At 45.4% G+C, this 18,864-nt stretch overlaps 1 annotated feature.

The window, feature by feature from the left end:
- Window positions 871-1,371: an enhancer, noted in NCBI's record as "H3K4me1 hESC enhancer chr2:129569784-129570284 (GRCh37/hg19 assembly coordinates)". NCBI's record gives its function as "activates a minimal SCP1, AML or CMV promoter by ChIP-STARR-seq in primed H9 embryonic stem cells {active_cell/tissue: H9 hESC(primed)}" and the evidence as "EXISTENCE:reporter gene assay evidence [ECO:0000049][PMID:30033119]".

Below are 18,864 nucleotides of genomic sequence, written 5' to 3' on the forward strand. Positions count from 1 at the left end.
TCTTTACAGCTAATGTGTTTGCCAGGAAACCAATCCAAGGGCCAGAAGCAGCAATGTTCAGCATCTTAGATTCTTACCAGGTCTTCTCAGCAGAAACCCAGGAATGCATGCTGGGCAGGAGCAGTGCCTGTGTCACTGGGGGAAAGGGAACAGCTTTACTTCTGGGGTGGAGCTGCTTGTCGGCTGTGGCCTGGCCTGGGAGTGATCCTTTCCCGAGAAGGCTTTTCTTCCAGGAAAGCCGATGTCCAGGAAGCCTATCTGGTCCTCACGGCACTGCTGAGAAGGAGGCATGACCAGTGTGGGGCCCATGTTGTTGGGGTTGGCCCCAGGGCTTCTGGCTCAGCATTGTGTATAAGCCCAGGGTATAGGCATTCTCCTGAGCTGAAGGCATCCGGGAGGGGACTTAGGTGACAGCACCTGGCAGTCCTCAGTCCTTGGGCTGCCAGAGAAAGGAGAGGCTGCCTTGCTGAATAGAGATATAGTCTTTGGGGGCCATCTAGGCCACTAAAAATGCCCAACCTGGCTGACCATCAGGATTGCCCAGCAGGTTTCTGAACATTCAGATGCCTGGGCCCCATTCCAGAACCCCCGAGTCAGAATCTCAGGGTAGCATGCAGGCATCTGCACTTTCCCATCCCAGATGTCCATTTTGGACCCATTCACTTAGGCAAGTGCCCTCTCTGTGCAATGCTGTCCTCAGCCACCTCTCTGAGAGACCAGGGGCCAGCTTCCGTGGAGAACCATTCAAGACTAGGAGCTCTCAGCTGTGGGGAGCCTGGTCCACCAGGGGAGACGCACTGAGAAAACAGGGGTCCAGACACCCACCTGCCCCAAAGCCCTGCTGGTAGGCTTTGTCTCAGCGCAGACCCAAGGACACAGTCGGACTGTCCTCATGGCATCTGTCCCACATGTCAGGTTTACACCAACCACCGGCTTCTGCAAGGGCTTCCCATCCATTTGCTCATCCCTTTCCTAAGCATGAAGTGCCACTGCCCCGACGGCACTGGACCTCATCTGCTGATCCTCTTTCCCTGGGGCCCATCAGTGCCATGCCTTCTCTCCGCCCCATCACCCATGGAGGAGGAAGGGCATGAGGATGGCAGTGTGAGGTAAAGCTGCCATCATGGCCTGGCTGTCTTCTGCCCAAAAGCCCAAATGCCCAGCAGGGTACCCCGTGACCCTTTGCAATGCCTGCAGCTCCCCATTGACCAAGGCATAGCCGCCTCATGCTTGGCTGGAGTCTGGCAGTGGGCTGGCTCTGTCACTCGATTGTGATGGGGTCACAGGACACATGCTTGTTGAGACAACCCTTGTCTGTAGGAAGAAGTGGCCTGGTCAGGAGACGGTGTGGTCAGCAGATTCTTCAGACAGAGACAGGGAGGGGCTGCGTGGGACTGGAAGTGAGAGCACACTGTGGCTAGGGGAAAGCCAGCAGGGGCCACAGGAAGGCTGGAGGGAGGCTCCTGACTTCTGCTACTCCCTGGCACCCCACACAGGGCCATCCTGCAGTGTGGCCAGGGATCCCTGCACCACCGGAGGTCCCCCAGCACGTGGGACTGAGAGGGCAGGCAGAGGTCTCCAGGCGCTGGAGTGTTTATGTTCTCATGCTGGGAAGGGGCAGACCCGGGCTGCAGAAACAGGGGTGCCTATGCTGAAAGAGGGGAGTCTGGCACTGAAGTCAGCAAGGTCACCTGCTGCTGCCAAATGGGGACAATGGGGTCTGACAACCAGACTGGCTCTGGGGCTGAGACCTTGGAGCTAGGGTCACAGAGGAGACCACGGTCCCAGAACAGTCAAGGACACCCAGGTGTGGGTTGGGCCATACACAAGGGCTCCAGCAGTCAGGGAGAGCTGCCCTCCCTCCCACCTCACCCCCAGCACCTCCCTCCTGCTTCCCTCCCAACTTCCTCCCCTCCTCCCTCCTCACTATTCCCCACTGCGTTTGCCCTACCTCCTCCCACCCCTGTCAGCGCCCCAGCCCCCAACCTACCTCCTGCCCATGACCCACCTTCTGCCTGTCTCTCTGCCTACCACCTGTCAGAGTTCCTGGGGATTTACATCTCCAGCTGGGTGACCCCAACCAAGCTTCTCAGTCTCCTCAGTGACTAGGCCTCTCTCTGCTCCAGCCACTCAGAGAGGTGCCACCCAAGCCCTGTTCCCATCCCAGCCAGAGACTGCAGGTCCCCACACCTTGCCCCAGCTCATCACCCTCTCCCCTGCCCATTCCCCTTGGCTCCTGACTCCAGCAATGTCAGCACCCCACCTGATACCAGCAACCCATTCATCCACTGCCTTTCTATGACCGCACCCTCCCCATGGCGGCACCTCTTCCTACCCAGCTGAGTGCAGTCACAATTTGCTCCCTCTCACTCATTCCCGTGTCCTGCCCCTCTCCCTGCATCACACTCATTTCACAAACCCCAGCCCCGGTTATGTCCAATGCTTTTGTCTCCCTGTCTTCCTGACCCGGCTGTGGCTGCCCTCCTCCCTTCTGGGGCAGCCCAGACGTGCCAGGCACCGCCTGCCTCAGGGCCTTTCACTCACTGGCCCCACTGCAGGGAGCACAACCCTGTGGACACACATCTGGTTCCCTTCTGAACATCCACTAAGTGCCCTATTGAATGCTGCCATGTCTGTTGGCTTGTCACATTCATAGTGCTGCCTTCCCTGGCCATTCTTCATACAATACACTTCCCCCCGCCCCCCAGGCAGACCCATTGCACCTGGTTTATTACATCCAGAATGACTTACCACTACCTCACATACATATTCTAATATTTTATTTCTTTTTAAATTTTTAATTGACAAGTAATAATTGTACATATTCATGGGGTACATAGCAATGTTTCAATACATAAAATGACCAATTTTCAACAAAGATGTGAAAAACAGAAGGATAGTCCTTTCAAGGAATGGTGCTGCAGCAGGTGGGCATTCACAGGCAAATGAATAAATAAGCTTCCCCCTAAACCTCACAGCTTAGACAAAAAGTAATGCAAAATGGCTAAGATACTCAAATGTAAAATTGAAAATTATGCAACTTTTACAAAAAAATAAGAAAATCTTTGGAACCAAGATAACACCAAAAGCATGACCCATAAAAGGAAAAATTGATAAATTGGACCTTATTAAAATTAAAACTTTCACTCTGTGAAAGATCCTGTTAAGAGAATGAAAGGCTACAAAGAGGGGGAAAATATCTGCCAACCACACAATCAACAAAAGACATTGGTTAGAATATATAAAGAACTCCTAAATCTCATCAGTTAATAAACAAGTCATGTGACTTGAAAGAGGCAAGACAGGAACAGACATTTCATCAAAGAAGATATACAGATGAGAAATAAGCTAACAAAAATATGTTCATTAGTTATTAGGGAAATGCAAATGAAAAGTGACAATACAATATCACTGTGCCCCTATCAGAATGGCTAAGATAAAAATGGTGATGGCACCAGTGCTGGAGAAGATGCTGAGAAATTGGCCACACATTGCTGTTGGAATGCAAAGGGGTAAACCTCCTTGGAAAGTAGTGTGGCAGTTTCTTATCATACTTAACATGCCACATCACTGAGCAATTGTACTCACACAAAACACCACTCATGCTCATAGTAACTGTATTCTTAATAGCCAAAATTGGATACAACTCACATATCCTTAAACTGGTGAATGGTTAAACAAACTGTGGTACAGTAGGCCCTTGATGGGTTTCCCATTCGTGGATTCAACCAACTGAGGATTGAGAATATCTGGAAAAACATTCCACCAAGTTTCAAAAGGCAAAACTTAAATTTGCCGGATGCCCAGCACTGCGTTGAATTCAGGAGAATGAAATGATGTGTAGGCATTGTGTTAGGTATTGTAAGTAATCTAGAGATGATTTAAAGTATACAGGAGGATGTGCACAGGGTATATGCAAATACTGCACTATTTTACACAAGGAACTGGAGCATCCCCAGATTTTATATCCCTGGATTTGGGTTTGAGGGGCCCTGGAACCAATCCTCCATAGAAACTGAGGGACAAAGGTATAGTACCGTCAAGTGTTGCATATGACGGTGGTCCCATGAGATGCTAATGGAGCTGAAAAATTCCTACTGCCCAGTGACATCATAGCCATCATAATGATGTAGTGGAAGCATTACTCGCTTGTTTGTGGTGAAGCTGGTGTAAAGGATCCAGGAGATCAGTCAGTATTATTTATTACAGCTGTTTAGCCATCTGCAATATCTCAAAATAAAATGGGTTTTTAAAATACAGTAAATGAGAAGTAAATTGGATAATTTCACATATGTGCTTAAAAAAGGTTACAGTAAGCTAAGTTTATTTTATTATTGAAGGAAGAAAAATATTTCCTATAAATTTAGTGTAGCCTAAATGTACAGTGTTTATAAAGTATACCGTGGTGCATAGCAATGTCCTAGACCTTCACATTCACTCGCCACTGACTCACTGACTCACTCAGAGCAACTTCCAGTCCTGCAAGCTCTATCCATGGTAAATGCCCTACGCAGGTGTGCAATTTTAAAAAATCTTTTATACCATATTTTTACTGTACTTTTTCTATGTTTATTTATATTTAGATACACAAATACCATTGTGTTCCTACAATATTCAGTACAGCAACATGCTGGACAGGTTTGTAGTCTACGAGCAATAGACTATCCTATATAGCATAGGTGTGTAGTAGGCTGTACCATCTAGGTTTGTGTAAGAATGCTCTATGATGTTCACACAATGACAAAATCACCCAATGATGCGTTTCTTAGAATGTATCCCTGCGGCCAGGGACGGTGGCTCACGTCTGTAATCCCAGCCCTTTGGGAGGCTGAGGTGGGTGGATCACGAGGTCAGGAGATCGAGACCATCTTGGCGAACATGGTGAAACCCCGTCTCCACTAAAAATGCAAAAAATTAGCCAGGCGTGGAGTTATGTGCCTGTAGTCCCAGCTATTCGGAGGCCGAGGCAAGAGAATCACTTGAACCCGGGAGGCAGAGGTTGCAGTGAGCCGAGATTGCGCCACTGCACTCCAGCCTGGGTGACAGTGCAAGACTCCATTTAAAAAAAAAATTTATATATATATATAAAATCTGTATGTGTATATATATACATATAAAATCTGTATTTTATATACATATAAAATCTGTATGTATATATATATAATCTGTATATATATATATATATATAATATGTATATATATATATATATATCTGTCATTAAGTGATGCATGATTGTGCTTGTATACCATGAATTACTGCTAAGAAACACAAAGGAAGAAATTATTGATATATGCAACAATTTGGGTGAATCTTAAAGGAATTATGTTGAGTGAAAAATGTGAATTCCAACAGCTTATGCATGACTTCATTTATATAAAATCCTTGAAATCATAGTATTATATTACTGGAGAGTAGATTGATGGTTTCCAAGAGTTAGGGATGGCATTGGAGGGACAATGGGTGGGCGGTGGGTGTGGGTATAAAAAGTCAACATCAGCACCTTTGTAGCTATGGAATTGCTTTGTGTCTTGACTGGTGGTGGGTGCATGAAACTACTCATGTGATAAAATCGCATGAACTAAATATGCACATGCACACAAATAAGTAAAAGTACAACTGGAGAATCTGAGTAAGCTTGGTGAATTGTATCAACATCAGTATCCTTCTTGTGATACTGGGCTACAGTTTTGCAAGATGTTACCATTGGAAGAACTGGGTAAAGGATCCAGGGGATCAGTCCGTAATATTTATTACAGCTATTTATCAATCCGCAATATCTCAAAACGGGTTTTTAAAATACAGCAAATGAGAAGTAAATTGGATATTTTCACGTGTGCGCTTTAAATTCTTCAGTGGTCAGCTATCTACGAAAGTGCAGTTCAGATCTCCCATTGAGCAGGCTTGCTGCAGGAAGTGCCATTGTCTGACGGCCTCCAGCTGTGGTATCTTCCTGCACTGCTTCAGTTATCCAGCTGGGACCACCTGCGTTCTAGCTGTTGCCTGCCAGTGACTGAATCCTGGGGTGCTGGGATGGCTCACCATTCCTGCCACAACAGGTTCCTCCATGGGTGATGTTTGTCCTGGCCCCTGGAGGCTGGCCCAGGCTTTCTCAGAGCTGAGCTTCAGTCTGAGGCTCTTTCTACCTCCTCTGCAGCCAGGTGCCTCCTAACTTTCTCACCCACAAGTAGATTATGCTCAATAAATAGTTTACACTTGAAATTCTGTCTGGTGCTTGCTTCCTGGAGGATGACCCCATGGACACAGATTTCTCCTAATTGCTCTCAGGCTGTGCTCACGGACCACCCAGAAAACATCTGGAAGGCCATGGTTGCAACCCATGACTGCTCCAGCTTCTAGAGCCCGGTTTCTTTCTCTATTTTCTGAACTTTCTCTTGGTCCCTTGAATTTAAGCCCTTTCCGTGGTTGGGCATGCACACTTGGCATTTCCTTCTCCTGGGAAGCTCTGCTTCTCTCCTGGTGCCTTCTGTTGCTCATTCACATGAGCTCAAATGTCCCTGGGCAGACTCCTCTTTCCTGATCCCTCAGACCAGATCAGGCTCTCTGCTTTTCTCCTCCACTGGCTGTGGGTTGTCTGTGTAATTACTTGATTCATGTCTGAGTTGCCCGGTGCACCAAAAACCAAGACATCGTCTGGCTGTTTTGTTGATTGTTGAGTCCCCACCACCCATCCCAGTGTCTGGCACGTGGCCGGGACTTGGTGATGTTTATTGAATGAATGGGCACGTTGAGTTAAGCAGAAGAGGAAGGCACTGTCTTTCTGACCTGTATTTTCTTAATTTCACAAATAATTTTGTGCAACGCCTTTTATTTAGGGAAATGCTTTTATTTAGGGAAACATGTAGGGCATTAGTACCTTTGCATTTCATGTACTTATACCTTTATAGGTCTTGTCTATGCTGTAAAATGCAGTTCACTCCCAGCATTACTTGAAGCGCCTCTGTATTCCCTGGGGTCCACTTACTGCAATATCTTCAGTCTGATGCTGATTTGCTAATCAAAGGCTTCACTTCTTCCTGTAACCCTCTCTTGAAATCAAAAGGGAAAGGTCATTCCAGAAAGTTGGTTTCTCATCCTTAACAAACAATTCTCATGAAATGCTAATTAAGTGATAAATCCAGCGGACAATCTGTAAGTGGCTGACTTGCTTTTTTTAAGCTAATGAGTATTTGTAGTTGTCTTGGTTATGGAGGCCTTAATGGATTTCCTGGTACAGTGTTTGACTGCTGGGCCATAAACCTCCCATCTCTGAGAGGGGCCATTGCTCAAGCTCCATGAAAATAAACCTAGGGGTGGAATCTACATGAAATACTTTATTCTTTGAGGCTCCCAGGAACTAAACCACATGGGAGCTAAATAATAAAAGCAAATGAATAACAAATACTACACACAAATATGCACACACACAAATTATACTAGAACTGTTTATGGACAACAGAAGTCTAATGCACTCCAATAAGTGCTCATCAACAATTGATAAGTCTAATTAGAGTCTTAGGCCCTCGTTGTCATGCTGGGGCAGTCATGACCACAGCCCCATGCCTTCCTGAGCCTCTTCATGGACCAGCGCTGTGCTGGTGCTTATATCAGCCCCTCCTCAGGGATGCCCTGTTGGCTAGGAACTCCATTTATCGATAACAGGACAGAGGATCAGAAAGGCTCCGGCGTTTGCTCATAATCACAGCACGGTTAAATAGCGGAAGTGGTCCATTCTTTCTGGCACCACAAACAGCCCACAGAAATTTCTCTCAGGAGCCCAGCCCAGCCTTCTTACCCTTATTTTCCAGCCCTCGCCTGCTCAGGCCCTTGGTCTTACTAATCTTTCTGCTGGAAGCACCTCTTCCACTTGGTCCTCCTGGGAGCACCTGTCCACTGCTTGCAGAAACTCAGTCAAAGGCCATCTCTGCTGGGAAGTGTCCCTCCATGCCAGGCTGCACAGGTGCCCCTCGACTTTGCACTGATGACAGGGGCTGCCTCCCTCTGTCACTCCACGAACTTGAGCCCTCATCTCAGAACTCCCTAGGCCAGGCATTGAGCAGACACCTTGAGAGGTGGATTAGGCCCTCCATCCCCGAGCTCAGCCCTGCTCATATCCTTCCCTCTACTGCTTCCAGCATTCCCCTGTGATGTGGCCACATAAATGCTTCATCATTAGCAGAAAAAGAATTAGCCTCTGGGTTGGCATATTTTACTGAGTTGTATACTTTTTCTTACTTTTTTTTTGTCACAAAGCTTGGTCTTCAAAACAGCATTGAGGGACCCCCTCTAAGTAAGACGGCTAGAAGCAGGGCTGCTCTGCTGGGCAGCCTGGAGGATCCCTGGGCCCCTGCAACAGCATCCCAGAACCCCACATTCCAGGACTAGGTGACCTTTAGATTCCCTGGCCCTTGAGTATCCTGTACACCAGGTGCCCTGGCTTTGTGGGATTTCTGGGGTTCTGAGATTCTGAAGCTCTCACTCATTAGTCCAGAGGGCTTTCCTCCATCCTTTCAAACAAGATTCAGAAAGACTGCCCCACACAGAGGGCTGGGAATCCTAGGCAGGGTCACGAGCATTCAGGAGCCAATGCCCAAATAGAACTGGGATTCCACCAAGATTAGGGGCTTCCTAGAGTTTGCTCATACCTTGGGTTCATGCTTGGAAATAGCTGTAGATGAGTGGAAGTGAAAGGTTACAAAAGGGTGTTGAACTAAAAGGGGTAAGAATGCTAAGAGTCACCTCCCCCTAAGCTGAGTGACTCTGGTGCCTCCTGCATATTGAGAAGCAAGGACTCAGGGAAGGATTCCGAAGAAGCCGCTTCCCCTCCGGCCCCACCCGCACCCAGACTGAAGGCAAGTCACAGCTTTCAAAGTGCTCTGAAGAGAGCTAAGCATCTACATGCTTGTCATCGGGAGGGAACTGGTGGCTGGAAATGCCCCCCACTAGCCCATGGAGGACGTTCTCATAAGGAAACACTCCCAGGAACTCAACCACGAGGAAGCTAAATAAAAGCAAATGAATAACAAATACTACACACATATATGCACACAAGCAAATTATACCAGGAGTGTTTATGGACAACAGAAATTTAGTCTCATCATCAACATGATGGCATGGTAAGGCCCACTCGGAGGCTCATTCTGTGATATTTGTGTGAGTGGTCAAGGAAGCACTTTGCCTGAAATAAGTGCGTGCATTTCAGTCTTTCCTTGCTAGCTTGTTTGGGGATCCCAGGGATGTGTCTGCTGGGATGACGCATCTTTTCTTTCCAGTGGCTCTGTCGGCCTGGTGCCCAGGCTTGGCTGGAGCCTCTGCCAGAGCACCTGGTGGGCCAAGCAGAGAGCCCCAGGCCAGCCAATGGATGGATCACTCCTGGCAGCTTTAAAATATTTCTCTTCTCTGCCTTAATTTCCATGAGGGAAAACTGAAGTCATTTTATCTTAAATATCTTTTTTTAATTAAAAAGCAAATTGGTTCACTTTCAGAAAGCAGGTTCTGGTTCTCCAAAGAGTGCAGAGATGGCTGGATGACCTGCAGCCCCTGGCTCAACTCTTGGGCCACCGTCTCCTGCTGTGAAGATGCAAGGAAGCCATCGGCCTCTGTCAGCCTCAATTTCCTGGTGTTGGATTAAAATGGCTGCAAAACCCATGCTGCCCCTCCCATTGAGGGATGGCATCATCCCCTGAATCTGAACTGGCCTGGGATGACTTTCCTGGCCCATAGATTGCAGTAGAAGGGAGGTTTTGCTACTACAGAAGACACATCATTTGAAGCCCTCCAGCTTCTGCCCCAGGCTCTTGGGAGCTGTGGAAGCCCTGAGCCTCTGTATGAGGAGGCAGTCAGCTGACGGGGCCACTCCTGTGGGCACTTGGGCCTCAGCCTCAGCTGAGCCCAGCTGGCAGTCATCCCAACCAAAGTCCCAGACAGACAAGGGTGTGAAGCCACCCTGGGCCCTCCAGCCCAGTCCATCTGCCAGCTGAGTGCAGCCATGGCCTCTGTGGATGGCTCCTGCTAGGGATGGAACCAGCACTGAGCCAGGACCTGCCTGAAATCCTGACCCACAGATCATGAGCTATAATCAAGTGGTGGCTGTTTTAAGCTTCTAAGTTTTGGGGTCCTTTATCACACAGCCATGGATAACCAGGTGTCTTACCTGAATGAGGGAGTTAAAAATAATTTCCTTGCAGGGTTGTTTAGAGGATCAGCAAAAATGAAAATGAGCCTTACCAGGTAAGTGATGAGTAAAGGTAGCTAATATTTTTGTTATTAAAGTGGCAATGGGGCAATGGTACCTCGGGCTTACAGGATGGTACTGATTACATTAACCAGGACAGGGATGGAAAAGTGATGCTTTTGGGGATGGGTGGGGTCATGGCAGCAGAGGAAAGGAGATGGGGTGGGCCCACTCACATCCTTCCCATTTCCAGGTCCCTCCCCTTTGAACGAAATTGGACCATCTATGGGCTGTGCCCACATTTGGTTTTACCTCGTCAAGAAACATGCTATGCCAGCTCAGGCCAGGTGCTGCTCCAGGTTTGGAATGTGAGCACTGCAGGGCAATCTCACCATTAATGTGGGTGGGAACTGGATGGGTTGGAAGGAGAAGATGTTAGAGAAGTTCCACAAGATGATTACGCTGAGGAAATGGCTCTGAGGGCTCTGAGGAAAATGCCAGCCTTATGAGCATGCCATGTAAGCATGGGCTAGCTGTGATTTGATTTAGTGAAATGGACCAGGGAAGCGGGAAACAGGCTGGAGACATACCTCGCAGTGTGTGGAACCAAAGCAAAGGTGTTCGATCTTCATCCAAAGAGCAGCAGGAAACCACGGTGCGTTTAGACGGGCAGTACATGAGCAGGTGCCACTTTAGGAAATGCCCTAGAGGAGACCAGAGAGGTGCATGGTGGGGCAGGAAGGAGAACAGAGCAGCGCAGCCACCAAGCCAAGCTCCAGCTACTGCACAGTGGGGTCTCTCCTCTGAGTCGGCCAGAGCCCCCTCCTGGTGCTGCCAGGGGCACCTTTCTTTGTTTCATTAGGTATTTTGATAAAGTGGAGAAAGTACCCCACACATACACACAAAGCAGCTCTTTCATAGAATGGTCTGTTCTCTCCCCTGGAGGTGGCTGGTTGTTGATGGTGGAGACAGGCTGTGACAATAGGAGCACCAATCACCCTGCTGCACCCACCTCGCCCCCGACCTGGTGGGAGAGGGCAGGTGCCTGCCACTTTCTCCTCTGACCCCTCTTCCCTGAGGATGCACCCCTTCCTGCGATGCAGATAGACATCTGCACAACCCACTCAACTGGCCCTTGAGACACACCGGGCACTTCCAAATCCATTTTCCGGTGGGTTTTTACTCTCAGGATGGACACATTTTCTCAGGGTGTGGACCTGAAGTGACAATGGATGCTTCAAGTACAGCCGACTAGACACTCTAGGCCACTCTTCCACAAACAGTGTGCAGACAGGAGGGGAAGAGCTTGAGGCAGGGTTTAAGTCACATGGAAGACAGAATGAGAATGAGAAAGCTGAACTGGAATTCCAGGGGCGGAAAGAAAAAGAGGAAAAAAAGCAGCCATAAATAATGGCTGAAAATATTCTAGAAGTGAAGAAAGACACAGATCCAATAAACCCAATATACACCAAAAAAGACAACAAATCCAAAGAAAAAACCAGAACTAGACACAGAACCTACCAAACCAAGAAGCCAGAAGAAAATCTTATAGTAGCCAGAGGGCAAAAATCTTCAACTTAGTAAAGAAACAGTGGGCTCAGGGCACACTTCTGAATAGCAATAATGAACGCTCAAGACATCAGATACCAAGAAACAGTGGCTGTCAACATAACACTTTGTCATCAGCAAAACCATCTTTAAATAATGAGAAAGACATAAAAATATCTTCATATAAACAAAAACTTGGAGGAGTAAACACCAATAAATATACTCACTGGAGGGACTTCTAAAGAGTGAATTTCAGGGAGAAAAAAATTGAGGAGAATGAGGGTTTTAAATGCCTTTAAATGACTTTAAAAAAATGGGAAAGAGGGTGCGACCTGGGCAAGATGGACAAATAGGAACAGCTCTGGTCTGCAGCTCCCACTGAGATCAATGCAGAAGGCAGGTGATTTCTACATTTCCAACTGAGGTACCCGGCTCATCTCACTGGGACTGGTTAGACAATGGGTGCAGCCCACAGAGGGTGAGCAGAAGCAGGGTGGGGTGTTGCCTCACCCAGGAAGCACAAGGGATCAGGGAACTCCCTCCCCTAGCCAAGGGAAGCCACGAGGGACTGTGCTGTGAGGAACAGTGCCTTCCGGCCCAGATACTATGCTTTTCCCACGGTCTTCACAACCCACAGACTAGGAGATTTCCTCGGGTGCCTACACCACCAGAGCCCTGGGTTTCAAGCACAAAACTAGGTGGCCATTTGGGCAGACACCAAGCTAGCTGCAGGAGTTTTTTCTCATACCCCAGTGGTGCCTGGAACGCCAGCTAGACAGACCGTTTACTCCTCTGGAAAGGAGGCTGAAGCCAGGGAGCCAAGTAGTCTAGCTCAGTGGATCCCACCCTGATGGAGTCCAGCAGGCTGAGATCTACTGGCTTGAAATTCTCGCTGCCAGCACAGCAGTCTGAAGTCAATCTGGGATGCCTGAGCTTGGTGGGGGAAGCGGTGTCCACCATTACTGAGGCTTGAGTAGGTGGTTTTCCCCTCACAGTGGAAACAGAGCTGCCGGGAAGTTCAAACTGGGCAGAGCCCACTGCAGCTCGGCAAAGCCTCTGTAGCCAGACAGCCTCTCTAGATTCCTCCTGTCTGGGCAGGGCATCTCTGAAAGAAAGGCAGCAACCCCAGTCAGGGGATTATAGATAAAACTCCTATCTCCCTGATACAGAGCACCTGGGGGATGGGGCGGCTGTGGGCACAGCTTCAGCAGAATTAAACATTCCAGCCTGCCAGCTCTGAAGAGAGCAGTGGATCTCCCAGCACAGCACTTGAGCTCTGCTAAGGGACAGACTGCCTCCTCAAGTGGGTCCCTGACTCCTGTGACTCCTGACTGGGAGACATCTCCCATCAGGGGTTGACAGACACCTCATACAGTAGAGCTCCGGCTGGCATCTGGCGGGTGTTCCTCTGGTAAGAAGCTTCCAGAGGAAGGAACAGGCAACAATCTTTGCTGTTCTGCAGCTTGCACTGGTAATACCCAGGCAAACAGGGTCTGGAGTGGACCTCCAGCAAACTCCAGCCAACCTGCAGCAGAGGGGCCTGACTGTTAAAAGGAAAACCAACAAACAGAAAGGAATAGCATCAACATCAGCAAAAAGGACACCCACACAAAAACCCCATCTGAAGGTCACCAACATCAAAGACCAAAGGTAGATAAAGCCATAAAGATGAGGAGAAACCAGGACAGAAAGGGTGAAAATTCCCAAAACCAAAATGTCTCTTCTCCTCCAAAGGGTCAAAACTCCTTGCCAGGAAGGGAACAAAACTAGACAGAGAGTGAGTTTGACGAATTGACAGAAGTAGGCTTCAGAGGTAATAACAAACTACTCCGAGCTAAAGGAGCATGTTATAACCCAATGCAAGGAAGCTAAGAATCTTGAGAAAAGGTTAGAGGAATTGCTGACTAGAATAACCACTTTAGAGAAGAACACAAATGACCCGATGGAGCTGAAAAACATAGCACGAGAACATCATGAAGCATACACAAATATCAATAGCCAAATTGATCAAGCAGAAGAAAGGATGTCAGAGATTAGAGATCAACTTGATGAAATAAAGTGTGAAGACAAGACTAGAGTAAAAAGAATGTAAAGGAATGAACAAAGCTTCCAAGAAATGTGGGACTATGTGAAAAGACCAACCTACATTTGATCAGTGTACATGAAAGTGATGGGGAGAATGGAACCAAGTTGGAAAACACTCTTCAGGACATTATCCAGGATAACTTCCCCAACCTAGCAAGACAGGCCCACATTCAAGTTCAGGAAATACAGAGAATACCACAAAGATACTCCTTGAGAAGAGCAACCCCAAGACACATAATCATCAGATAAGGTTGAAATGAAAAAAAATATTTATTTTATTTTATTTTATTATTATTATACTTTTATTATAGTTTTAGGGTACATGTGCACAACATGCAGGTTTGTTACATATGTATACATGTGCCATGTTGGTGTGCTGCACCCATTAACTCGTCATTTAGCATTAGGTATATCTCCTAATGCTATCCCTCCCGCATCCCCCCACCCCACAACAGTCCCTGGTGTGTGATGTTCCCCTTCCTGTGTCCATGTGTTCTCATTGCTCAATTCCCACCTATGAGTGAGAACACGCGGTGTTTGGTTTTCTGCCCTTGCGATAGTTTGCTGAGAATGATGGTTTCCAGCTTCATCCATGTCCCTACAAAGGACATGAACTCATCCTTTTTTATGGCTGCATAGTATTCCATGGTGTATATGTGCCACATTTTCTTAATCCAGTCTATCCTTGTTGGACATTTGGGTTGGTTCCACGTCTTTGCTATTGTGAATAGTGCCACAATAAACATACATGTGCATGTGTCTTTATAGCAGCATGACTTATAATCCTTTGGGTATATACCCAGTAATGGGATGGCTGGGTCAAATGGTATTTCTAGTTCTAGATCCCTGAGGAATCACCACACTGACTTCCACAATGGTTGAACTAGTTTACAGTCCCACCAACAGTGTAAAAGTGTTCCTATTTCTCCACATCCTCTCCAGCACCTGTTGTTTCCTGACTTTTTAATGATCGCCATTCTAACTGGTGTGAGATGGTATCTCATTGTGGTTTTGATTTGCATTTCTCTGATGGCCAGTGATGACGAGCATTTTTTCATGTGTTTTTTGGCTGCATAAATGTCTTCTTTTGAGAATTGTCTGTTCAAATCCTTTGCCCACTTTTTGATGGGGTTGTTTGTTTTTTTCTTATAAATTTGTTTGAGTTCATTGTAGATTCTGGGGATTAGCCCTTTGTCAGATGAGTAGGTTGCAAAAATTTTCTCCCATTCTGTAGGTTGCCTGTTCACTCTGATGGTAGTTTCTTTTGTTGTGGAAAAAAAATATTAAGGGTCACCAGAGGGAAAGGTGGGGTTACCCACAAAGGGAAGCCCATAAGACTAAGAGCAGATCTCTCTGCAGAAACCCTACAAGCCAGAAGAGAGTGGGGGCCAATATTCAACATTCTTAAGTAAAGAATTTTCAACCCAGAATTTCATATCCAGCCAAACTAAGCTTCATAAGTGAAGGAGAAATAAAATCCTTTACAGACAAGCAAATGCTGAGAGATTTTGTCACCACCAGGCCTGCCTTACAAGAGCTCCTGAAGGAAGCACTAAACATGGAAAGGAAAAACCGGTACCAGCCACTGCAAAAACACGCCAAATTGTAAAGACCATTGACACTATGAAGAAATGGCATCAACTAACGGGCAAAATAATCAGCTAGCATCGTAATGACAGGATCGAATTCACACATAACAATATTAACCTTAAATGTAAATGGGCTAAATGCTCCAATTAAAAGACACAGACTGGCAAATTGGATAAAATCAAGACCTATCCGTGTGCTGTATTCAGGAAATCCATCTCATGTACAGAGACACACATAGGCTCAAAATAAATTGATAGAGGAATATTTACCAAGCAAATGGAAAGAAAAAAAAAAGCAGGGGTTGCAATCCTAGTCTCTGATAAAGCAGACTTTAAACCAAAAAAGATAAAAAAAGACAAAGAAGGGCATTACATAATGGTAAAGGAATCAATGCAACAAGAAGAGCTAACAACCCTAAATATATATGCACCCAACACAGGAGCACCCAGATTCATAAAGCAAGTTCCTAGAGACCTACAAAGAGACTTAGACTCCCACACAATAATAGTGGGAGAATTTAACACCCCACTATCAATATTAGACAGATCAATGAGACAGAAAATTGACAAGGATATTCAGGACTTGAACTCAGCTCTGGAGCAAGCAGACCTAATAGACACCTACAGAACTCTCCACCCCAAATTGGCAGAATATGCATTCTTCTCAGCACCACATTGCACTTATTCTAATATTGACCACATATTTGGACGTAAAACACTCTTCAGCAAATACAAAAGAATGGAAATCATAACAAACAGTCTCTCAGATCACAGTGCAATCAAATGAGAACTCAGGATTAAGAAACTCACTCAAAACCGCACAACTACATGGAAACTGAACAACCTGCTCCTGAATGACTACTGGGCAAATAACAAAATTAAGGCAGAAATAAATAAGTTCGTTGAAACCAGTGAGAACAAAGACACAACATATCAGAATCTCTGGGACACAGCTAAAGCAGTGTTTAGACAGAAATTTATAGCACTAAATGCCCACAGGAGAAAGCAGAAAGGATCTAAAATCAACACCCAACATCACAATTAAAAGAACTAGAGAAGCAAGAGAAAACAAATTGAAATGCTAGGAGAAGACAAGAAATAACTAAGATCAGAGCAGAACTGAAGAAGATAGAGACAAAAAAAAAAAAACCCTTCAAAAAAGCAATGAATCCAGGAGCTGGTTTTTTGAAAAGATTAACAAAATAGATAGACTGCTAGCCAGACTAATAAAGAAGAAAAGAGAGAAGAATCAAATAGACACAATAAAAAAGTATAAAGTAGATATCACTACCGATCCCACAGAAATACAAACTACCATCAGAGAATACTATAAACACCTCTATGCAAATAAACTAGAAAATCTACAAGAAATGGATAAATTCCTGGACACATATACCCTCCCAAGACTAAACCAGGAAGAAGTCGAATCCCTGAATAGACCAATAACAAGTTCTGAAATTGAGGCAGTAATTAATAGCCTACCAACCAAAAAAAGCCCAGGACCAGACAGATTCACCACCAAATTCTACCAGAGGTACAAAGAAGAGCTAGTACCATTCCTTCTGAAACTATTCCAAACAATAGAAAAAGAGGGACTCCTTCCTAACTCATTCTATGAGGCCAGCATCATTCTGATACCAAAACCTGGCAGAAACACAACACAAAAAGAAATTTTCAGGCCAATATCCCTGATGAACATCAACGCAAAAATTCTCAATAAAATACTGTCAAACCGAATCCAGCAGCACGTCGAAAAGCTTATCCACCATGAGCAAGTTGACTTCATCCCTGGGATTCAAGTCTGGTTCAACATACGCAAATCAATAAACATAATCCATCACATAAACAGAACCAAAGAAAGAAACCACATGATTATCTCAACAGATACAGAAAAGGCCTTCAATAAAATTCAACAACCTTCATGCTAAAAACTCTCAATAAACTAGGTATTGATGGAACGTATCTCAAATAATAAAATCTATCTATGACAAACCCACAGCCAATATCATACTGAATAGGCAAAAGCTGGAAGCATTCCTTCTGACAACCGGCACAAGACAAGGATGCAGTCTCTCACCACTCCTATTCAACATAGTATTCGAGGTTTTGGCCAGGAAAATCAGGGAAGAGAAAGAAATAAAGGGTATTCATATAGGAATAGAGGAAGTCAGATTGTCTCCATTTGCAGATGACATGATTGTATATTTAGAAAACCCCATTGTCTCAGCCCAAAATCTCCTCAAGCTGATAAGCAACTTTAGCAAAGTCTTAGGATACAAAATCAATGTGCAAAAATCAAGCATTCCTATACACCAATAATAGACAAACAGAGAGCCAAATCATGAGTGAACTTCCATTCACAATTGCTACAAAGAGAATAAAATACCTAGGAATACAGCTTACAAGGGATGTGAAGGACCTCTTCAAGGGAAACTACAAACCACTGCTCAAGGAAATAAGAGAAGACACAAACAAACGGAAAAATATTCCATGCTCATAGATAGAAAGAATCAATATTGTGAAAATGGCCATAGTGCCCAAAGTAATTTATAGATTCAATGCTATCGCCATCAAGCTACCATTGACTTTCTTCACAGAATTGGAAAAAACTACTTTAAATTTCATATGAAACCAAAAAAGAGCCTGTGTAGCCAAGACAATCCTAAGCAAAAAGAACAAAACTTGAGGCATCACACTGACTTCAAACTACACTACAAGGCTACAGTAACCAAAACAGCATTGTACTGGTACCAAAACAGATATATAGACCAATGGAACAGAACAGAGGCCTCAGAAATAATGCTGCTTATCTACAACCATGTGATCTTTGACAAACCTGACAAAAACAAGCAATGGAGAAAGGATTTCCTATTTAATACATGGTGTTGGGAAAACTGGCTAGCCATATGCAGAAAACTGAAACTGGGCCCCCTTCCTTACACCTTATACAAAAGTTAACTCAAGATAGATTAAAGACTTAAATGTAAGACCTAAAACCATAAAAACCCTAGAAGAAAACCTAGGCGATACCATTCAGGACATAGGCATGGGCAAAGACTTCATGACTAAAACACCAAAAGCAATGGCAACAAAAGCCAAAATTGACAAATGGGATCTAATTAAACTAAAGAGCTTCTGCACAGGAAAGAAACTATCAGCAGAGTGAACAGGCAACCTAAAGAATGGGAGAAAATTTTTTCAATCTATCCATCTGACAAAGGGCTAATCCAGAATCTACTAAGAACTTAAACAAATTTACAATAAATAAACAACCCCATCAAAAAGTGGACAAAGGATATGAACAGACACTTCTCCAAAGAAGACATTTATGGGGCCAAGAAACATGAAAAAAAGCTCATCATCTCTGGTCATTAGAGAAATACAAATCAAAACCACAATGAGATACCATCCCATGCCAGTAAGAATGGCGATCATTAAAAAGTCAGGAAACAACAGATCCTGGAGAGGAT

The sequence above is a fragment of the Homo sapiens genome, chromosome 2 (genome assembly GCF_000001405.40).
Source record: "Homo sapiens chromosome 2, GRCh38.p14 Primary Assembly".
NCBI lineage: Eukaryota > Metazoa > Chordata > Mammalia > Primates > Hominidae > Homo > Homo sapiens.